The following is a 22458-nucleotide window of genomic DNA, read 5'->3' on the forward strand; positions in this document are numbered from 1 at the left end:
CCCAATGTCTCACTATTAACTTCCAGACATCTACTTGTACCACATCACTTCTAAAATTTACTATTCAAAAGTAAGTTGCGACTGCATTACCAAACCAAAAAAAAAAGCCTCTCTTCAGAATTTTTCTTACAACTCCTTCACAGCATTAAATATATTGACCATCCACTTGAAAATTTCCTCCTTCATTAGCTTTCATATAATCACTCTGTATTCTTTCTTAAAGTAATAGAAAGAAACTATAATGGTAGTCAAAAATCCATGTTCAAGCATAGGCCCCACTATTGCTCTTAAAACTCTAATTTCTTTATCAGCAAAATAGGGATAATATTTGTCTTGCTTTGTTCACTAGTTTGTAATGCAAAAAATAAAACAAAATAATGAATCTGATAATGCCATAAAAGACATGAAATATATAAAGCAGCTAAGTAAGATTTGATAACTTGGTAACAGATAGGCTACAGAAAATGATACAAAAATTGCTACCAATTGGCTGTGAACTCCTGAAGGAACCAAAGCTGTGTATCTTACCTAGAAGGTTTTTTCAGTATTAAAAGGTTTCAAAGCATCTTCATCAAAGCATTACCATGTCCATTATGGCTTTTACCAGGAAGTTAGGAGACTTCAAATAAAAAACCTTCTGACCTACCTGGACTCACTTCAAAATGAAAAAATAATTATTGGAACTACATTGGGGGAACTTTCATTTTGATAACATAGTAGGAAACCAAAATGTTAATGATGCATCTTCATATGAATAAGCAAGTAAATTGAATCAGGCCAATTGTGAGTAAGAGATATTACCAGTTCTTGGGGAAGGTGCCCTTGCAATTTCTAAGGAGCAAGGTTTCTTTGTAACAGCTGTGTCCATGAGATCACACAGAAAGTTCTCATTTTCTGAAGGAAATGTATCCAGAGAAGCAGATGGTACAATTTCCATAGTGTAATTTCTCTTCTTTGGATAGGACTCCTGAAAAGAAGAAAAAATAAAAACAGCTTTGTGATGAAGAAACAGCCTTGTTTAATTTATAAAAACTAGAAAAGATAATCAGGTTCATTAGTTCTTTCCAAAGTGATTGACAGCTGATGATTCATCTGTTTGAATAAATTATAGAATCATGTAAACCCAATATCAGTGATATTTTTAAGAGTCCTCATAATTTAAAAGGACTGAATTTATTACTGAATTAGTAAAGGTATTGCCCTTTTTTGTAATATATATCTATTATCTAGTTGTGGCATAAACTGCTGGTTAACTAATCAACAGTCATCCCCAAGACTCTACTCCTTTGCCGGCCTCCTGGAGACACCCATATAACTCGGAGACACCCATATAACTCAACTTTGGCCCATTAGATGTAAGATGAAGTTTGCTAAAAGGCTGGTGGGAAAAAATTTTTCCCCAAGGAAGAAGCATATAAGGAGGCTCTTTCAGAGCCAAGGCCATCCCCAGGCTCCTCTCTTTGGATGCAGTTTTGATATCTGGAGCTAGGGCAAGCATTTTGTGACCAAAAGGCAAGAATCTTCAGATCAAAAAGGTAACAAGCCAAGAATGGCAACAGAAGGATAAAAAGAGCCTGGGACATTGATCATATCATTGAGCTGCTCAAATAGACCCAGGGCCAGTTTCTCCAGTCTTCTTACATAAATAATAACATTCTTACAGTTTGAGCCATTGCTAATTGGGTTTTCTGTCATTTAGAGTTAAATGTCTTGCCATCCAGCACACTAGTATCTTTCCTTGTAAATACCATTAACTAATATACTAAGGTACTCTTTTCAGGTTAGGATAAAATATAGGTCCAGTTCTATATGATTGATTCTTTGATATATTCTAAAAATTAGAATTTATTTCATTTTATAAGATTTTGATTTCCTGTACATAAGGCATTAATTGGTCAACAAATACTTATTGGGCATCTACTATATATATGTAGAATATATATAGCATATTTATATATTATATATATATGTATATATATATAATGTGCTAAATGCTGGACTGTTTTTAAACTAATGAGACATAATCCTTGCTCTGAAGAAGTTCACAGTCTGCTGGAGAAGACTGTGAAATTCTGCATGATGAAATTCACAATTAATCATATTTTATTTTTGCTACAGATCCTCCTCAGCTTTACAAAAAAACCCAAAGTAAGTTGAAAATATTGTAAGTAGAAACTGCATTTAATACACTTAACCTACCAAACAGCATAGCTTAGCCTAGCCTACCTTAAATGTGCTCAGAACACTTACATTAGCGTATAGTTGGGCAAAATCATCTGGTAACACAGTACATTGTAGAATATTAGTTACTTACCCTTGTGGTTTTGTGGCTGACTGGGAGTTGTGGCTTGCTACCACTGCTCAGCATCATGAGAGAGTTATCTATCATAGGGTATATTGCTAGCCCAGGAAAATATTCAAAATCTGATGTACGGTTTCTACTGAACATACACTGCTTTCACACCATTGCAAAGTCAAAAACTCGTAAGTTGAACCATCATGAGTTGCAGACCATCTGTATGTGCTACTTTTATAAAGTATGCCTCACAATCAAGAAAAAGACAAATAAGAAAATAGACTAATATTTTTGAAAAATCTCCCTAAGTATATTCTAGGGCTGATAAAGATTTAGTACGAATTCCTAGTTTTTCTACAGTACAGCAGAATTCAAGGTCAGGGTAATTGCTTTCAGACAATACCAGACCCTCACACATCAGAGAGTCAATTATGGTCATGATACTCCATTGAAAGCAGGAAATTGGGAGTAATTTATTTTTAACAACAAAGGGTGACAAAGTAGAAGGCATCCAGAGGAAAGTAATCAGGATGGCATATAATTCTGAAACCATGTCAGAGAAGAAATGATGAAAGGAACTGCAGTGTTCTATCCAGAGAAGCCTTATAGCCACATAATAGTTTTCTCAATGATTTGAAAGGCTATCCCTCATCAACTATCCCACAAAGGGGGGATGGAGAAAAGTTGATGTGGTAGATTTATTCTAAGGCCCATAAAGACAAGACAAAGACTAATGTTTATAAGTCAAGAAGGGCAAATTTGGCTCAATACAAAAAATAATTTTCTATGAATTAATGATATTGTTTACCTTTTAAAATAAAAAGGCACTATAAAATGAGTTAACAAATAGCATTATAAAGCAACAGAAGGAAGTCCTCATTACTGAAAATCTTCCAGCAGAATTATCTGCTGATAAAATTGTGGATGAAACACATTGTACAATGAGTCCAACAGGTTACTATAAGCTCCATGAAGGCTGGAATTTGTCTTGTCCACTACTCTGTCCCTAGAATCTAATACAGGTCCTGCCAATAGTTGATGAGTTGATGCTCAATAAATATGTATTGATCAACTGAACAGTCTCTAGTGTCCTTTAAACAAAGCTAACTACAAGTTATGGAAATGATTTTTTTTCAAATGTAAATTATTTTGCCTTTCAGTTCAGTTAATATTGTTCACCAGTTTGCATATAAAAAGTGAAAAACTGAGATTACAACGATAAGATTGTAAAGATTCTATGGAAAAAAAGAGTCTCCAGTTAAACTCCTAGTTCCATCCTGAAATTAAATTAATCAAAACAACCCATGGATTTAGTTAAGTTGGAATTTTACAGTGTGTATGAACACTTCTGAGGATTTTTAAAGCCTCGAAAACCACTTTGAAATTTAATCACAAAGCATGGGTTAATTTGCTTTCTTCCTTAAAAATGAAGTATATAGGTTTATTAGAGAATAATTTGAAAACATAAAGAAAGAGGAAAATAATCACATGAAAATCAAGCATGCTGAGATAACTGAGGGTAATATTTTGGTGACCATCCTCCCAGACTGTTTCACTCTGTGAATGTGTGTGGACATGTGAGTATGTGCAAAGGAAAGAAAAAATATTTTAAACAATAATGAAGTACTCCCTCTTCTGCTTCCTAATGGAGGGCCATAATTTCTTCTTAGAATGTAAGTCTTTGTAGAACCTGGCTTCCTTAGGGAAGGTGAGGCCCCCGCGGGAAGGAGTTGGTAAAAACGAAGATAGTGAAACAATGCTTTTGTAACCAAATATTTCAATGTCAAGAAAGAGAGATAGTTGAACAAAATATCTGACAAGTGACCGTCAAAAGAGGATATGCAAGATAATTTTTTTAAAAAAATGGATCCATGTGTCCACTACTCAGTTTAAGAGGTAGAATATTACCATTGTATCATTGAAACCTGTCCCCCAACCCACCCCATGTTCATCTTTCCAATTTTACCCTTTTTCCTCCTCTACCAGGGCTAAATGCTTTCTGAGCTTTGTGTTTTTAATTGCTTGGACTGTGTTAAATTTTAACTATACATGTAAGTATCAATAAAAAATAAATTTTTAGTACTGTATGCTTTCAAACTTTATATATATAGTATCAAATGCTCTAGTTCTTCTGTGATTTTTCTCAATCAAGATTATGTTTCTGAATTTCATCTATTTTCAGTGTGGTACAGGAGCTCATTGTTTAAGATTACCACAATTCATTTACACATTCTCCTGACAATGGACTTTTAAATGTTTCCTAGGTGTTTTGTTATTTAGGATAATGTTATTATAAATTTTCCCATATGAAGTCTCTTGGAGCAAGTAACCAGGGTTATGCTGCCTATTCTAGTAGTGATGGGGAAGAGTCAAGAACAGACAGCAGACGAGAAAAATAAATGAAATCAAGAGATGATAATGAGAATGGAAATTGTATGCCCTGTAGATTCTATAGAATCTTAAGGATAGCATTTGCAGTTTTCTACCCAAAGTGGCAGGAGGGTTCAAAGGATATTCTGTAAATCTTATTAAAATATTATATATAAGTATAGTATTATATAAAATATTTCCTAATCTGTTATTTACCTCTAATGATATATTTTATACCCTTTTCAATGACAATTATATGTCTACATGATGAACTTGGGTCCCAATATATACCTGGTCATAATTTATTTGGCCAATCCTATCATATTGAAATTTTAATGTTTTGCTTTGAAGGAAACATTTTTGTTCATATATTTTGTTTACATATTCAACTATTTTGAAATAGAATTCCTGTGATAATACATATATGACTTATGTTTACATATAATTGAATCTGTATCTGGACTTTCTAATTGGTTCCATATATATGTCTATTCTAGTACAGGCATACCTCAAGGTGTATCGTGTTTTACAGATATTGCATTTTTAAAAAAATAAAGATTTATGGCAACCGGGCATTGAGCAAGTCTATCAGCACCATTTTTCCAACATGTTCTTATTTTGTGTCACATTTTGGTAATTCTCCTAATATGTCAAATTTTTCATTATTATTATATCTGTTATGGCCATCTGTGATCAGTGAGCTTTGATGTTACTGTTGTAATTGTTTTGGAATGCCACAAGCCACAATCATATAAAACAGTGAACTTAATGCATAAGTGTAGTATGTGTTCTGACTGCTCCACCGACCAGCCATTCCCCTGTCTCATCTTCTCCTTGGGCCTCCCTATTTCCTGAGACACAACAATATTGAAATTAGGCCAATTAGTAACCCTTCAATGGCCTCTAAGAGTTCAAATTCAAGAAGAGTCACATGTCTCTCACTTTAAATAAAAAGCTAACAATGATTAAGGTTAGTGAAGAAGACATGTCAAAAAGCTAGGCCTCTTGTGCCAAACAGCTACCAAGCTGTGAATGCAAAGGAAAAGTTCTTGAAGGAAATTAAAAGTGCTACTCCAGTGAACACACAAATGATAAGAAAGGGAAACAGTCTTATTGCTGATATGGAGAAAGTTTCAGTGGTCTGGATAGAAGATCACACCAGCCACAACATTCACACAAGCCAAATCCTAATCCAGAGCAAGACTCTAATTCTCTTTAATTCAATGAAGGCTGCCAGAGGTGAAGAAGCTGCAGAAGTTTGAAGCTGGCTGTGGTTAGTTCATAAGGCTTAAGGAAAGAAACTATCTCCATAACATAAAAGTGCAAGGTGAAGCATCAAATGCTAATGGAGAAGCTGCAACAAGTTATCCAGAAGATCCCGCTAAGACAATTGATGAAGGTGACTACACTAAACAATAGATTTGCAATGTAGATGAAACAGCCTCATACCAGAAGATGTCATTTAGGACTTTCACAGCTAGAGAAGAGAAGTCAATGCTTGGCTTCAAACTTTAAAAGGACAGTCCAACTCTTTTGTTAGGGGCTAGTGCAGTTGATGACTTTAAGTTGAAGCCAATGCTCATTTACCACTCCAAAAATCCTAGATTCCTTAAAAATGATGCTAAATCAACTTTTCCTATGCTCTATAAATGAAACAACAAATCTGGATGACAGCATGTCTGTTGGCAGCATGTCTGTTTACAGCATAATTTACTGAATATTTTAAGCCCACTATTGAGACCTACTATTCACAAGAAAAGATTCCTTTCAAAATATTACTATTCATTGACAAAGCCACAGATCACCCAAGAGCTCTGATAGAGCTGTACGAAGAGATTAACGTTGTTTTCATGACTGTTAACACAGCATGTATTCTCCAGCCCATAGATCAAGGATTAATTTAGAGTCTCAAGTCTTATTATTTAAGAAATACATTATATAAGGCTATAGCTGTCATAGAAAGTGATTCCTCTGATGAAACTGAGCAAAGTAAATTGAAAACCTAGACAAGATTTTCCATTCTAGATGCCATTCAGAACATTTGTGATTCATCAGATGAAGTCAACATCAATGAGTCTAGATGAAGTTGACTCCAACCCTCAGGGAGGACTTTGATAGGTTTGACTTTGGTGGAGGAAGTAACTGCAGATGTGACGGATAAATAGCAAGAGAACTGGAAGTGGAGCCTGAATATAGGACTGAATTGCTGTAATCCCATGATAAAACTTGAATGGATGAGGAGTTGCTTCTTACAGGCGAACAAAGTGGTTTAAGATGAAATACACTCCTGGTGAAGATGCTGTGAACATTGTAGAAATGATAACAAAGGATTTAGAATATTACATAAACTTCATTGATAAAGCAGTGGCAGGGTTTGAGAGGATTGACTCCAATTTTGAAAGAAGTTCTAGTGTGAGTAAAATGCTATCAAACAGCTTTGCATGCTACAAAGAAATCTTTCATGAAAGGAAGACTCAAATAATTCAGCAAAACTACATTGTTCCCTTATTTTAAGAAACTGCCCACTGATTTTGTATCCTGAGAGTTTGCTGAAATTGCTTATCAGCTTAAGAAGCTTTTGGGCTGAGATGATGGGGCTTTCTAGATACAGGATCATGTGATCTGCAAACAAATATTGTTTGACTTCTTCTCTTCCTATTTGAATACCCCTTATTTCTTTCTCTTGCCTGATTGCCCTGGCCAGGACTTCCAATACTATGTTGAATAGGAGTGGTGGAGACAGCATCCTTGTCATGTGCTGGTTTTCAAGGGGAATGCTTCCAGCTTTTGCCCATTCAGTATGATGTTGGCTGTGGGTTTGTCATATATGGCTGTTATTATTTGAGGTATGTTCCTTCAAAACCTAGTTTATTCAGAATTTTTACCATGAAGGGATGTTGAATTTTATCAATGGCCTTTTCTGCAGGCAAATCATGAATGAACTGCCACATCATGAATGAACTGCCATTCACAACTGCTACTAAGAGAGCAAAATGGCTAGGAATACAGCTAATAAGTGAGGCAAAGGACCTCTTTAAGGAGAACTACAAACCACTGTTCAAGGAAATCAGAGATGACACAAACAAATGGAAAAACATTCCATGCTCACAGATAGGAAGAATCAATATCGTGAAAATGGCCATACTGTCCAAAGTAATTTATAGACAATGCTATTCCCATTAAACTACCATTGACATTCTTCACAGAATTAGAAAAAAACTAATTTAAAATTCATATGGAACCAAAAGGAGCCCGAATAGCCAAGACAATCCCAAGCAAAATGAAAAAAGTTGGAGGCATCACGCTACCTGACTTCAAACTATACTCAAGGCTATAGTAATGAAAAAAGCATGGAACTGGTGACAAAAACAGACACATAGACCAATGGAACAGAATAGAGAACTCAGAAATAATATCACACATCTACAACAATCTGATCTTCGACAAACCTGACAAAAACAAGCAATGGAGAGAGGATTCTCTATTTTAAAAATGGTGCTGGGAGAACTGACTAGCCATATGCAGGAAATTGAAACTGGACCCCTTCCCTACACCTTATACAAAAATTAACTAAAGATGGATTCATGATTTCAATATAAAATGTAAAACTATAAAAACCCTAGAAGAAAATCTAGGCAATACCATTCAGGACATAGGCATGGGCAAAGACTTCATGCTGAAAATGCCAGAAGTGATTGCAACAAAAACAAAAATTGACAAATGGGATCTAATTAAATTAAAAAGCTTCTACACAGCAAAAGAAACTATCAACAGAGTGAACAGACAACCTACAGAGTGGGATAAAATTTTTGCAATCTATCCATCTGACAAAAGTCTAATATCCAGAATCTATAAGGAAGTTAAATATATAAGAAAAAAGCAATTCCATTAAGAAGCGGGCAAAGGACATAAACAGACGCTTCTCAAAAAAAGACATTCATTGTCCAACGAACATGAAAAAAAGCTCAACAACACTGATCATTAGAGAATTTCAAATCAAAACCACAATGAGATCACCTCATGCAGTCAGAATGATGATTATTAAAAAGTCAAGAAACAACAGATGCTGGCTTGTTGCAGAAAAAAAAAGGAATGCTTTCATACTGTTGGTGGGAGTGTAAATTAGTTCAACCATTGTGGAAGATGGTGTGGTGATTCCTCAAAGATCTAGAAGGAGAAAAAGCATTTGACCCAGCAATCCCATTATTGGGTATATACCCAAAGTATTATAAATCATTCTATTATAAAGATACATGCACATATAAGTTCATTACAGCACTGTTCACAATAGCAAAGACATGGGGTCAACCCAAATGGCCACCAATGATAGACTGGATAAAGAAAATGTGGTACATATACACCATGGAATACTATGCAGCCATAAAAGGGAATGAGATCATGTCCTTTGCAGGGACATGGATGGAGCTGGAAGCCATTTTCCTCAGCAAACTAATGCAGGAACAGACAACCAAATACCACATGTTCTCACTTATAAGTGGGAGCTGAACAATGAGAACACATGGACACATGGGGGGAAAAACACACACTGGGGCCTGTCAGGGAGGCAGGGAGAGGAGACCGTCAGAAAGAATAGCTAATAGATGCTAGGCTTAATACCTAGGTGATAGGCTGATCTGTGCAGCAAACCACCATGGCACACGTTTACCTAACAAACTTGCACATCCTGCACATGTACCCTGGAACTTAAAAGTTGAAAGAAAAAAAAAAAACTGTCACAGTCACCTAAGCTCCAGCAACCATTACTCTGATCAGTCAGTGGCCATTCAAATCAAGGCAAGACCCTCCACCAGCAAAAAATTATGACTCACTGAAGGCTCATATGATCGTTGGCATGTTTTAGTAATAAAGTATTTTTAATTAGGTATGTACTCTTTTTTAGACATAATGCTATTGCACACTTCATAAACTACAGTATAGTGTAAACATTACTTTAATATGCATTGGGAAACCAAAAAAATCATGTGACTGGCTTTGCTGTAATAGTCACTGTATTGTGGTGGTTGAAACCAAACTCACAACATTTGTGAAGTATGTCTGTACCAGAATTACACTGTCTTGATTAGTGGAGCGTTTAAATTGATTTTACTATCTGGTAGGATAAATCTTTCATCATGTTAATCTTTCCCAAGGCATTAATTATTAACTTCATGTTTATTTTTCAAAAAGAAAAAATTTGAAACATTTTGTTAAGTTTTCCTCAAATCATTCCTTCTCATTTGTTCCCTATCAGTAATCAATACTTCCATATATCCAGGCACTAAAAGAACCTGGGATATGGTTCACTTTTCATTCTTTCTCTGTCATTCCCAATAAATCCTCAAGTCCTATACTTTGCCATTGAATTATACCTCAAACACATTTATTTCTCTCCACCCCAGCTACCGCATGCTAGTCCAGACCACCATTATATTTCACCTGAACTGCTGGAACAACTTCCAAAGTATCTTCTTTGTCTCCAGTCCTGCCTCTCTTCTAATCAATTCATTTTCAAAACTAGCTTGAAGCTTCTAAGAGTAAGTAAGGTCAAAGCAAACTCATTTATTTTCATCATAACTTTATTTGATGAGAGAATCATAAAATGCTAGTCATAGAACACGTTGATTCTTTTTAAACATTTAACACGGTCTCTCATAATATCTCAGAATTTCCTTGCTGAATGATTTCATTAAATACATTAATGATCTAAATAGTAAATTCATTTAATTAACAAGATAGGAAAGAAGAAACAAAGTTCCTTGAGTAATAAGTTTAAACGTAATCCCATTAGTTGATAAGATAAATGGGATTAATTTCTAAAGACATACTTATCTAGCACCTAGCAAAATTCCATGTTCATAGTAGGACTCTATGAATATATGATGAAAAAATAAATGCATAAATTACCATATCAGTTAGAATTTCATGGCTTGCAACCTCTGCTAGAATTAAAGCACCATAGGGGCAAGAACCATGATAATCTTCATATAGTACGTATTTAATAAACATTTGTCAAAGTCTGAAACAATGTCATCCAAAAACAATCACAGATTCAAACTATCACAAATCCAAAACTACCACAAATTCCCCACTGTGGGAAGAATTACAACTTATATTTATGCAGTGTTTTATCATCTGCAAAGTGAATACTATTTTATTTGCCCAGATGATTCTCATTTAGCCCTCACAACAATCCAGCCAATGCTACTATCACCGCCATCCAGAAACTAGGACTGAAATTATTAAGTGACTTGTCCAATATTAAGCATCTTGTTAATGGAAATGTTAGGGATCCAACCTTGGTCTTCTGGCACCAGATCTAGTGTTCATGTGATTGTGTCAAAGATAAAAATGACTATGACCAGATATTTATTGCCAGAACTAAGGGAAAGAGGACACTCTGCACATCGTTAGGTAGTATCTAGCTCTGCCAATTTTCAAGCCTTTGTATGTCCCCTTCCCTGCACTGGGAAACGTTGACCTCAATACACAGATTAACTGCCAACATATCCTTGATGGTTAATCCTGGTAATAGGCAAGAGGGATTAAAAGGACTGCAATGCAACAATTTCTGACTCCTTCAAGACTCAATTTTCTCCAGTCTAGCAATATTGGGCTCAAAATAGATTAGTAGTTTTTGCTTTTTTCTTGACATTTGGCCTCTATCATTTAAAAAAAAAAAAACTTTTAAATATGCAACTTTTGTGGGTGTATAGCAGGTATATGTATTTATGTGGTACATTTGATATTTTGATAAAGGCAAGCAATATGTAATAATTACATCATGGAAAATGGGGTATCCATCCCTTCAAGCATTTATCCTTGTGTTACGTAAGTCCAATTATACCCTTTTAGTTATCTTAAAATATACAATTAAATTGTTATTGACTATAGCGCCCCTGTTGTGATATCAAATACTCCATTTTATTTATTCTTTCTAACTATGTTTTGAACCAATAACCATCCACAACTCCCACCCTCAGACCCCCACTATTCTTCCCAGCCTCTGGAAACCATCATCCTACTTTATGTCTCCATGAGTACAATTATTTTGACATTTAGATTCCACAAATAAGTGAGAACATGTGATATTTGTCTTTCCATGCCTGGTTTATTTCACTTAACGTAATGACCTCCAGTTCTATCCATGTTGTTGCAAATAAAAGGATCTCTCTTTTACGGTTGAATAGGTACTCTGCTGTGTATAAGTACCACAGTTTCTGTATCCATTCTTCTCTTGATGGACACTTAGATTGCTTCCAAATTTTTCTATTGTAAACAGTGCTGCAACAAATATGGGAGTAGAGCCATCTCTTCCATATAGTGTTTTCCTTTGGGGGTGGGGGGTGTATATAACCAGCAATGGGATTGCTGAATTACATGATAGCTCCCTTTTTAGTTTTTTGAGGAACCTCCAAACTGTTCTCCTCACATTCCCACCAACAGTGTACCATGGTTCCCTTTTCTCCACATCCTCACCAGCATTTGTTATTGCCTGTCTTTTGGATAAAAGTCATTTAACTGGGGTGAAATGATATCTCATTGTAGTTTTGATTTGCATGTCTCTGACGATCAGTGATGCTGAGCACCTTTTCATATGCCTGTTTGCCATTTGTATGTCTTCTTTTAAGAAATGTCTATTCAAATCTGTTGCCCATTTTCTAAGTGGGTTATTCGATTTTTTCCTATAGAGTTGTTTGGACTGCTTTTATATTCTAGTTATCACCTGTCAGATTATTAGTTTGCATTTTCTCCCATTTTGTGGGTTGCTTCTTCACTGTGTTGTTTCCCTTGCTGTGCAGAAGCTTTTGAACTTGATGTGCTCCCATTTGTCCATTTTTGTTGTGTTTGCCTGTGCTTGAGGGGTATTACTCAAAAACTTTTTGCCCAGACCAAATGCCCTGGAGAGTTTCCCCAAACTTTTCTTATGGCAGTTTCATAGTTTGACATCTTGGATTTAAGTCTTTAATCTATTTTCATTTGATATTTGTATATGGGGAGAGATAAGGTTCTAGTTTCATTATTCCGCATATAGGTATCAAGTTTTGCCAGCACAGAATACTATGCACCCATAAAAAGGAACAAGATCATGTCCTTTGCCGGGACATAGATGAAGCTGGAAGCCATTATCCTCAGCAAACTAACACAGGAAGAGAAAACCAAACACCTCATGTTGTCACTCATAAGTGGGAGCTAAAAAATGAGAACACATGGACCCAGGGAGGGGAACAACACACCCAGGACCCTGTCAGGGAGGCAGGGGGAGGGAAAGCAACAGGATAAATAGCTAATGCATGTGGGGCTTAACACCTAGGTGATGGGTGGATAGGTGCAGCAAACCACCATGGCACATATTTACCTATGTAACAAACCTGCATGTTCTCCATGTGTATCCTGGAATTTAAAATAAAATTAATTTAAAAAAAAAAGACTGTTTTTTTCCCAATGTATGTTCTTGGCACCTTTGTAAAAAATGAGTTCACTGTAGATGTGTGGATTTGTTTCTGTGTTCTCTATTCTATTCCATTGGTCAATATGCCTGTTCTTATGCAGTACTATGCTGTTTTGGTTACCATAGCTCTGTAGTATAATTTGAATCCAGGTAACGTGATTCCTCCAGTGTGGTTCTTTTCTTCTCAGGATAGCTTTGTTTCTTCTGGGTCTTTTGTAGTTCCATATAAATTTTAGAATTGCATTTTCTATTTCTGTGAAAAATATCATTGGTATTTGAGTAGGGATTGCATTAAATCTGTACATTGCTTTGGGTAGTATGGATATTTCAACAATACTGATTTTACCAATCTATATATATGAAATATCTTTTCATTTTCTTGTATGATCTTTAATTTCATTCATCAGTATTTTATAGTTTTCATTGTAGAGATCTTTCACTTCTTTAGGTAATTCCTAGTTATTTAATTTTAGTTGTGGCTATTGTAAGTGCAATAACTCTTTTGATTTCTTTTTCAGGTTGTTCACTGTTGGCATATAGAAATGCTACTGATTTTTGTATGTTGATTTTGTATCCTGACACTACTAAATTTATCAATTCTCATTCTTTTTGGTGGAGTCTTTAGGTTTTTCCAAATATAAGATCATGCTAGGTGTGGTGGCTCACACCTGTAATCCCAACACTTTGGGAGGCCAAGATGGGCGGATCATCTGAGGTAAGGAGTTCGAGACTAGCCTGACCAATGTGGTGAAACCCTGTCTCTAGTAAAAATACAAAAAAAAAAAAAAAATTAGCTGGGTGTGGTGGTGGGCGCCTGTAATCTCAGCTACTCAAGAGGCTGAGGCAGGAGAATCGCTTGAATATATATAGCCAACAAGAATACTTTGACTTCTACCTTTCCAATTTGGATGCCCTTTATATCTTTCTCTTGTTGGATTGCTCTATCTAGGACTTCCAGTACTATGCTGACTAACGGTGGCAAAAGTGATAATCCTTGTTGTGTTCCAGATCTTGGAGGAAAGGCTTTCAGTTTTTCCCCAGTCAGTATGATACTAGCTGTGGGTCTGTCATATATAGCTCTTATTATGTTAAGATATGTTCCTTCTATACTCAGTTTTTTGAAGGTTTTCTGTGATGAAAGGATGTTGAATTTCATCAAATGCTTTTTCAGCATCAATTGAAATGATCATATGGTTTTTATCCTTTATTCTGTTGATATGATGTATTATATTGGTTGATTTGCATATGTTGAACCATCCTTGCCTCCTAGGGATAAATCCCACTTGGTCATGATAAAACATCTTTTTAATATATTGTTGAATTCAGTTTGCTAACATTTTGTTGAGGATTTTTGCATTAATATTAGTCAGAGATACTGACCAGTATTTTTTTTTATGGGTCTTTGTCTGGTTTTGGTATCAGGGTAATGCTGGTCTTGTAGAATGAGTTTGGAAGTATTCTCTCCTCCTCTACTTTTTGGAATAGTTTCAGTAGGATTAGTATTAGTTCTTTAAATGTTTGGTAGAATTCAGCAGTGAAGCCATCAGGTCCTAGGCTTTTATTTGCTGGGAGACTTTTTATTACACCTTCAATCTCATTACTTGTTATTAGTCTGTTCAGGTTTTGAATTTCTTTATGGCTCAATTTTGATAGGTTGTCTGTGTCTAGTAATTTATCCATTTCTTCTGGGTTTTCCAATTTATCGGCCTATAGTTACTCATAGAACCCATTAATGATCCTCTGAATTTCTGCTTTATAGGTTGTAATGTCTCCTTTTTCATCTCTGAATTTATTTGGATCTTCTCTCTTTTTTTCTTAGTCTAGATAAAGGTCTGTCAATCTGAGTCTGGCTAAAGGTTTGCCAATGTTTATCTTTTCAAAAAAACAACTTTTTGTTTTACTGATATCTTGTATGGATTTCTTCATCTCAATTTCATTTATCTCTGCTTTGATTTTTAATATTTCTTTTCTACTAATTTTAAATTTGGTTTGCTCTAGCTTTTCTAATTCTTTAAGATGCACCAATTGGTTGTTTATTTGAAGTGTTTCTTCCTTTTGATGTAGACACTTATAGGATAAACTTTCCTCTTAGTACTGCTTTCACTATATCCTATACATTTTGGTATGTTGTGTTTCCATTATGGTTTGTTTTGAGAAATTTTTCAATTTCCTTCTTAATTTCTTCATTGACCCCTGGTCATTTCAGGGCATATTGTTTAATTTTCATGTGTCTGTATAGTTTCCAAAATTCCTCTTGTTATTGATTATATTTATTCCATTTTGGCCAGAGAAAATGCTTAATATTATCTAAATTTGGTTGAATGTTTTCAAATTTGTTTTGTGAGCTAACATATGGCCTATCCTTGAGAATGATCCATGTGCTAAGGAACAGAATGTGTATTCTTCAGTCACTGAGTGAGATGTTTTGTAAGTATCTATTAAGTGAATTTGATGTATAGTATAGATTAAGTTCAATGTTTCTTTGTAGATTTTCTGTTTGAAGATCTGTCCAATCCTGAAAGTGGGATGTTGAAGACCTAGCTATTATTGTATTAAGGCCTATCTGTCTCTTTAGCTCTAATAATGTTTCCATTATATATGTGGGTGCCCCATGGTTGGGTGCACACATATTTATAAGTGTTATATCCTCTTGCTGAATTGACCCTTTTATCATTATATAACGACCTTCTTTGTCTGACTTGTCTTATAGTTTTTGTCTTGAAATCTACTTTGTCTGATATAAATATAGCTATTCCTATTCTTTTTTGGTTTCCAGTGGCTTGGAATATCTTTTTCCATCCTTTTATTTTCAGTCTATTTGTATCTTTATAGATGATGTGTGTTTCTTGCAGGCACAGATCATTGGCTCTTGTTTTTTCACCTATTCGGCCACTCTATTTGAAGTCAGTCTTCTCATTCAGACTCTCATTCAGTATTCTCTTCCCTCTTTCCTTCTGTCTTTTCTCCCTTTTAGTGAAAGTGATTTTCTCTGGTGCTATGATTTAATTTCTTCCTTTTTATTTTTTGTATATCCATTGTATGTATTTTGATTTGAGGTTACCATGAGCCTTGCAAATACCATCTAATAATCCATTATTTTAACTGGTGACAATTTAACAATGATTGCTTAAACAAACATGCAAAAAGTAAACTAATGAAGGCTCTACACTTTAACTTTGTCTGCCTGCTTTTTAACTTCTTGTTGCTTCTCTTTATGTATTATTGTATTGTGTATGTCTTCAAACGTTGTTGTAGTTGTTATTTTTGATTGGCTCATTGTATAATCTTTCTACTTAAGATATGAGTAGTTTACATGCCACAATTACAGTGCTATAATATTCTCTGTTTTTTTCTGTGTGCTTATTATTGCCAGTAACTTTTGTACCTATAGATGATTTCTTCTTGCTCATTAACATGCTCTTCTTTCAGATTTAAGAACTCCCTTTAACATTTCTTGTAGGACAGGTCTGTTGTTGATGAAATCCCTTAGCTTTGGTTTGTCTGGGAAGATCTTTATTTATCTTTCATGCTTAAAGCATATTTTCACCAGATATACTATTCCTGGGTAAAAGTTTTTTTCCTTCAGCCGTTTAAATATGTCATGCCATTCTCTCCTGGCCTGCCAGGTTTCTACTAAAAAGTCTGCTGCCAAACATATTGGAGCTGTTATTTGTTATTTGTTTCTTTTCTTTTGCTACTTTTAGGATCCTTCCTTTATCCTTGACCTTTGGGACTTTGATTATTAAATACCTTGAAGTAATCTTCTTTGGTTTAAATCTGCTTGCATTCTATAATCTTCTTGTACTTGAATGTTGATATCTTTCTCTAGATTTGGGAAGTTCTCCAGTATTATCCCTTTGAATAAACTTTCTACCCCCACCTCCTCTTTAAGGCCAATAACTCTTAGATTTGACCTTTTGAGGCTATTTTCCAGAGCCTGTAGTTGCGCTTTATTGTTTTTTGTTGTTTTTTCTTTTGCTTCCTCTGACTGTGTTTTTTGTTTTGTTTAGTTTTTTGTTTTCTTGAGATGGAGTTTCGCTCTTGTTGCCCAGGCTGAAGTGCAATGGCATGATCTCAGCTCACTGCAACCTTCACTTCCTTGGTTCAAACGATTCTCCTGCTTCAGCCTTTAAGTAGCTGGGATTACAGGTGCCCACCACCATGCCCAGCTAATTTTGTATTTTTAGTAGAAATGGGGTTTCTCCATGTTGGTCAGGCTGGTCTCGAACTCCCAACCTCAGGTGATCTGCCTGCCTCAGCCTCCCAAAGTGCTGGGATTACAGACATGAGCCACTGTTCCTGGTCTGACTGTGTATTTTTAAACAGCCTGTCTTGAAGCTCACTTTCTTCTGCTGCTTGATCAATTCTACCATTAAAAGACTCTGATGCATTCTTCAGTGTGTTGATTGCGTTTTTTCAGCTCCAGAATTTCTACTTGATTCTTTTTAATTATTTCATTCTCTTTGTTAAATTTATGTAATAGAATTCTGAATTCCTTCTGTATCTTATCTTGAATTTCTTTTGAGTTTCCTCAACACAGCTATTTTGAATTATCTGTCTGAATGGTCATGTACCTCTGTTTCTCCAGGATTAGTCCTTAGTGCCTTACTGAGTTTATTTGGTGAGGTCATATTTTCCAGGATGGTCTTGATGCTTGTAGATGTTCATCAATGTCTGGACACTGAAGAGTTAGGCCTTTATTGTAGTCTTCGCAGTACAGGCTTGTTTGTGCCTGTCCTTCTTGGCAAGGCTTTCCAGATACTCAAAGGGACCTAGGTTCTAAGCCCCCTAATGCTGTGGTTTTTGCAGACTCATAGAAGTATCATTTTGGTGATCTTGGATAAGATCTGAAATGATTCTCTTGATTACCAGGCAGAGACTCTTGTTCTCTTTCCTTACTTTCTCCTAAACAAATAGAGTCAGTGTCTCTCTCTCAATCTCTCGCTCTCTCTCTCTCTCTGCTGAGCCACCTGGAACTTGGGGTATGGTGATGCAAGCACCCCTGTGGCCACAGCCATTGAAACTGTGCTCTGTCAGACTTGAAGCCAGCACAGCACTGGGTCTTGCCCCACACACACTGTAAACACTTTCTGGCTACCACCTCTGTTGACTCAAGGCACTAGGGCTCAGTGATCAGCAGGTAGCAAAGCCAGCCAGGTCTGTGTCCTTCCCTTTAGGGCGGGAAGTTCCCCTAGGTCCTGGGTGGGTCCAGAAATGCTGTTTGAGAAGCAGAGATTGGAGTCGAAAACCTTTTAAGTTTACCTGATGTTCTATTCTACTGCAGGTAAGCTGGCTCTCAAACCACAATACAAAGTCCTTCCTAGTCTTCTCCTTACTGTTTTTCTAATGCCTGATTATGGATCCTAGACTTGTTTTTGTACTTGAATTTTTACAATAGTAGCAGGCCTAGGACTGTGTTCTCTGCCTTGGTCTTTGACAGTTCTCTTCCAAGAGATTGATGTCCAGTCCCTGAATCCCAAACAGGTCCTTTAGGCCCTGTGCCACCTAAATTTACAGCTCCAATGGGAATGAATAGCTTTGATGCTTTGCCTTACTTAGATTCCTTTATCCTACCTGCTACTGTCAATTGTGCAATGTGCAGACCAAATAGTACTGCTTCAAAGTGACTAATCATGCATACTGACAGCACTTAATAAGTAAAGAGAACATTATGCCCCCCAAGAAAAATAAATATTGGCAATAAGAAATCTATATAATAAGCGTTCATACGTTGTTTACACTGTGTTTTCTATAACATTTAAAACTATCAGTGGTGGGCAGAATATAACAAGTCAAACTTTATTAGTGACTCAGTAAAAGGTTCTATGCTTCAGTAGAGAAAAGAGTTATAAAAAATTCATCATGGAGCTATGTGGATTAGCAATACTATGAAAAAAATATTAGGAGTTACAGCTGACAGTATGAGTCAGACTGTAACATGCCAGTTAAAGAAATTAATGTGACATTAGCTGATTTAATACAAGTATGATATTTCACCTAGAAAGAGTGACAGGCCTCCACTCTTCAGTGCTAATTAGTATTGGGAATGATCTGGCTTCACAATTTCATAAAAGGCGGGCTAACTGGATTGTGCTGAATTTCCTTTAGTAAGGCTGTGCAAGGTCTTATTCATCAAAGAGACTGGGGGAGACTTGGCCTTCTGACTTACGAAAGATCTTAGCAACAATCAGGAACCCAGAGGTAGACACAGTAGTTGCCCAAAAGTACCAATAATGTAGTTTTTCAAATCAGAAATTAGGTGGCCTAGAGGCTTTTCTAGACTACTTTGATAGGGCATCTCACTGAATTTGCTTCCTAGCACAGCTCTATTCTTAGCCACATGGGAAAACTAAAGCATCTTAATTGACACTACAGGGGAATCACACATGATGCACTTGGCTTGGTGCTGGGGCTGACACTTGAGGAGAGGCAAAGACCAAATGGACCGTTTTCTGTGAACATAAGTGAGGAAAATGGTGAGTATTAAACCCCTGTCATGTGAGAAAAGATTAAATAAGAAAAGGTGCTGAGGAACGTGTATGACAAACATTTAAAAGGTAAAATAGTGATTAGAATTGTTATCTATCTCTAAGGAAGTAGAAATAATGCAGATGGGGAGATGGTAACAGGGACAGATATTGCAGCTGATGATAAGATTTCTAATAATTAGAGCTTTGCAGTATAAAACTGGCTGCTTACTAAGTAGCAAACTCTCTGTCCCTGGAGTCTTCAAGGCTAGCCTGATCTATACAAGGCATCTTCTTTTTTTTTTTTTTTTTTTTGAGACGGAGTCTCACTCTGTTGCCCAGGCTGGAGTGCAGGGGCGCGATCTTGGCTCACTGCAAGCTCCGCCTCCTGGGTTTACACAATTCTCCTGCCTCAGCCTCCCAATAGCTGGGACCACAGGCGCCCGCCACCACGCCCGGCTAATTTTTTGTATTTTTAGTAAAGACAGGGTCTCACCCTGTTAGCCAGGATGGTCTCAATCTCCTAACCTTGTGATCCACCTGCCTCAGCCTCCCAAAGTGCTGGGACTACAGGCGTGAGCCACCACACCCAGCCTATACAAGGTATCTTCTGAGTGTAGAAGATAGCAGTTTGAATTAGACGAGTTTTAAGATGCTAAGTAAATGAGAGAATCAGAATAGAAGTTTTGTATTAGTACTATGGTACAAGTTACCTGAATATATTCACTGCTTCCTGAATTTTTTCTGATAATGGGGGAAGTAACACTAATACAAGAGTGTGGGTTTATGGCTTTTTTAAAGTTAGAAATGACTCACAGTTCCAAATGACTCAAGGTAGGTGAAAGTTTTTGGAAGTGGTCTGACTACTCTGACATCTTCCCACAATATCAAGAAAAAGTATCCCCTGAAGATTTACAATGACATTCAAATAAGAAAAACTACAACATGAATATGAAATCAGAAGAAAAATAACTTTTTTTTAAAACGAAGATACTTTAGGTGGGAGCAAAGAATGAATGACAGAAAGGCAGCCATGGGGGAAGGAGCATCACGTAACAGTGGTAGGCAGAATAATGGCTCTGAAAGATGTCCATGTCTGAATCCCTGGAAACTAGGAATACATTACGTAACACATAGCAAAAGGAACTTTGCAGATGTAAGTCAAGGATCTTGCTATGAGGAGATCATACTGCATTATCCAGGTGGCCCACTATACTCAGAAAGGACATTATAAGTAGAAGAGGGAGAAAGGAGAGCCAGTGTCAGTGATGCAACACGAGGTATCTGACTGGCTGTCACTGGTTTTGGAGCTTGAAGTTAGCCATATGTATTAGTCTGTTTTCATGCCGCTCATAAAGACATACCCAAGACTGGGTAATTTATAAAGAAAAAGAAGTTTAATGGACTCACAGTCCCATGTTGCTGGGGAGGCCTCACAATCATGGCAGAAGAGCAAGGGACGTCTTACATGGCAGCAGGCAAGAGAGAACGAGAGCCAAGCAAAAGGGGAAACCCCTTATAAAACCATCAGATCTCATGAGATTTATTCCCTACCATGAGAACAGTATTGGGGAACTGCCCCCATAATTCAATTATCTCCCACAGGATCCCTCCCACAGCATAGGAATCACGGGAATTCTGGGAGCTACAGTCCAAGATGAGATTTGGGTGGGGACACAGCCAAATCATATCACCATGAATCAAGGACTGTGAGCAGCTCATAGAAGCTGGAAAAGGCAGGAAAACAGATTCTTCCCTAGAGCCTCCAGAAAGGAAAGCAGCCCTTTCTATATTTTCGACTGGTAGGGCCCATTCTGGACCTCCAGAACTGAAGAATAATACATTTGTGTTGTTTTTTTATGCCACTAAATGTGTGGTAATTTGTTACAGCAGCGTTAGGAAACAAATGCAATAATATACCAGCAGAAGGCATCACACAGGGAGGCATGGGCTAAGAGAAGGACATAAAATTGGACACCAGTGGGAAAATACACCTTATCATTTTGTACTGACTCAGTATTTTAAAGATGGTGATTCTTTCTCGTTTTTAAATGTAATACAATACCATTGCAATACAGTTTCCCTCCAACTCCAACTTAGTTCTTGACAAGTAAGCCTAAAGTGCATTTGGAAAAATAAATGTGTGACAATAGACAGGTTATCAATTTGAAAAGAGAAAGGTAATGGAGGGAGTGGAGATCAACCTTTATCAGATATTTATGTAAACTACAAATGGTTCTGGTACAATAATTGAAAGGCAAGATAACAGAAAAAATACTTTAAAAGAAGGTTCTGATGCTTGCAGAAACTTATTACATTATAAAGGTGGTATTTCAAATCAGTAAGAAAACCACGGGTTATATAATAATTGTCAGTGAGGTAACCAACTAGTCATTTAGAGAGAAATAATAAACTTGAATTACTACTGCATTCCTTATATCAAATTAATTCCTGATAAAGATTTAAACAATTAGCAAATATATTTGTTATAATAATCTTGAAATAAGAATAACTTTTGACCAGAAGCTACAACCAGACACATAACCAAGGTTGTACAGAAAAAGATTGATAAATTTGAATATATACTACTATTAAATTTGTATAAAGAAACTAAAATATCATAAAGATCAAGAGACAAAAAATTTGGGAAAATTCTTTGACAAATATAACAAAGGGTTAATCTCTTTAATATATATAAAGATAATAATAAATTGAGATGAAAGAGACCATCAACCTAAGAGAAAAAAATGAGCAAAGATTACAGGCAGTTGTAAAAATAGCTAGAAATTTCTTACATGAAAAGATGCTCAACTTCATTTATAATTAAATATATGTACATGAAAGCAAGATAACACACCATTCTTGATCAAATTGCT

At 36.1% G+C, this 22458-nt stretch overlaps 1 protein-coding gene across 22 annotated transcripts in view; it reads right to left on the reverse strand.

Annotated features, from left to right (window-relative positions):
• The window catches only part of ANKS1B (ankyrin repeat and sterile alpha motif domain containing 1B), a 1250151-nt gene that overhangs the window by 768889 nt on the left and 458804 nt on the right, over nt 1-22458 (reverse strand). For all 22 annotated transcript variants that reach the window (XM_006719514.5, XM_006719507.5, NM_152788.4 and 19 more), the window contains one exon: nt 802-967. In XM_006719514.5, the coding sequence (XP_006719577.1) occupies nt 802-967 (166 nt within the window). The remainder of the gene's footprint in view (nt 1-801; nt 968-22458) is intronic.

Source organism: Homo sapiens, chromosome 12, assembly GCF_000001405.40.
Source record: "Homo sapiens chromosome 12, GRCh38.p14 Primary Assembly".
NCBI classification, from domain to species: domain Eukaryota; kingdom Metazoa; phylum Chordata; class Mammalia; order Primates; family Hominidae; genus Homo; species Homo sapiens.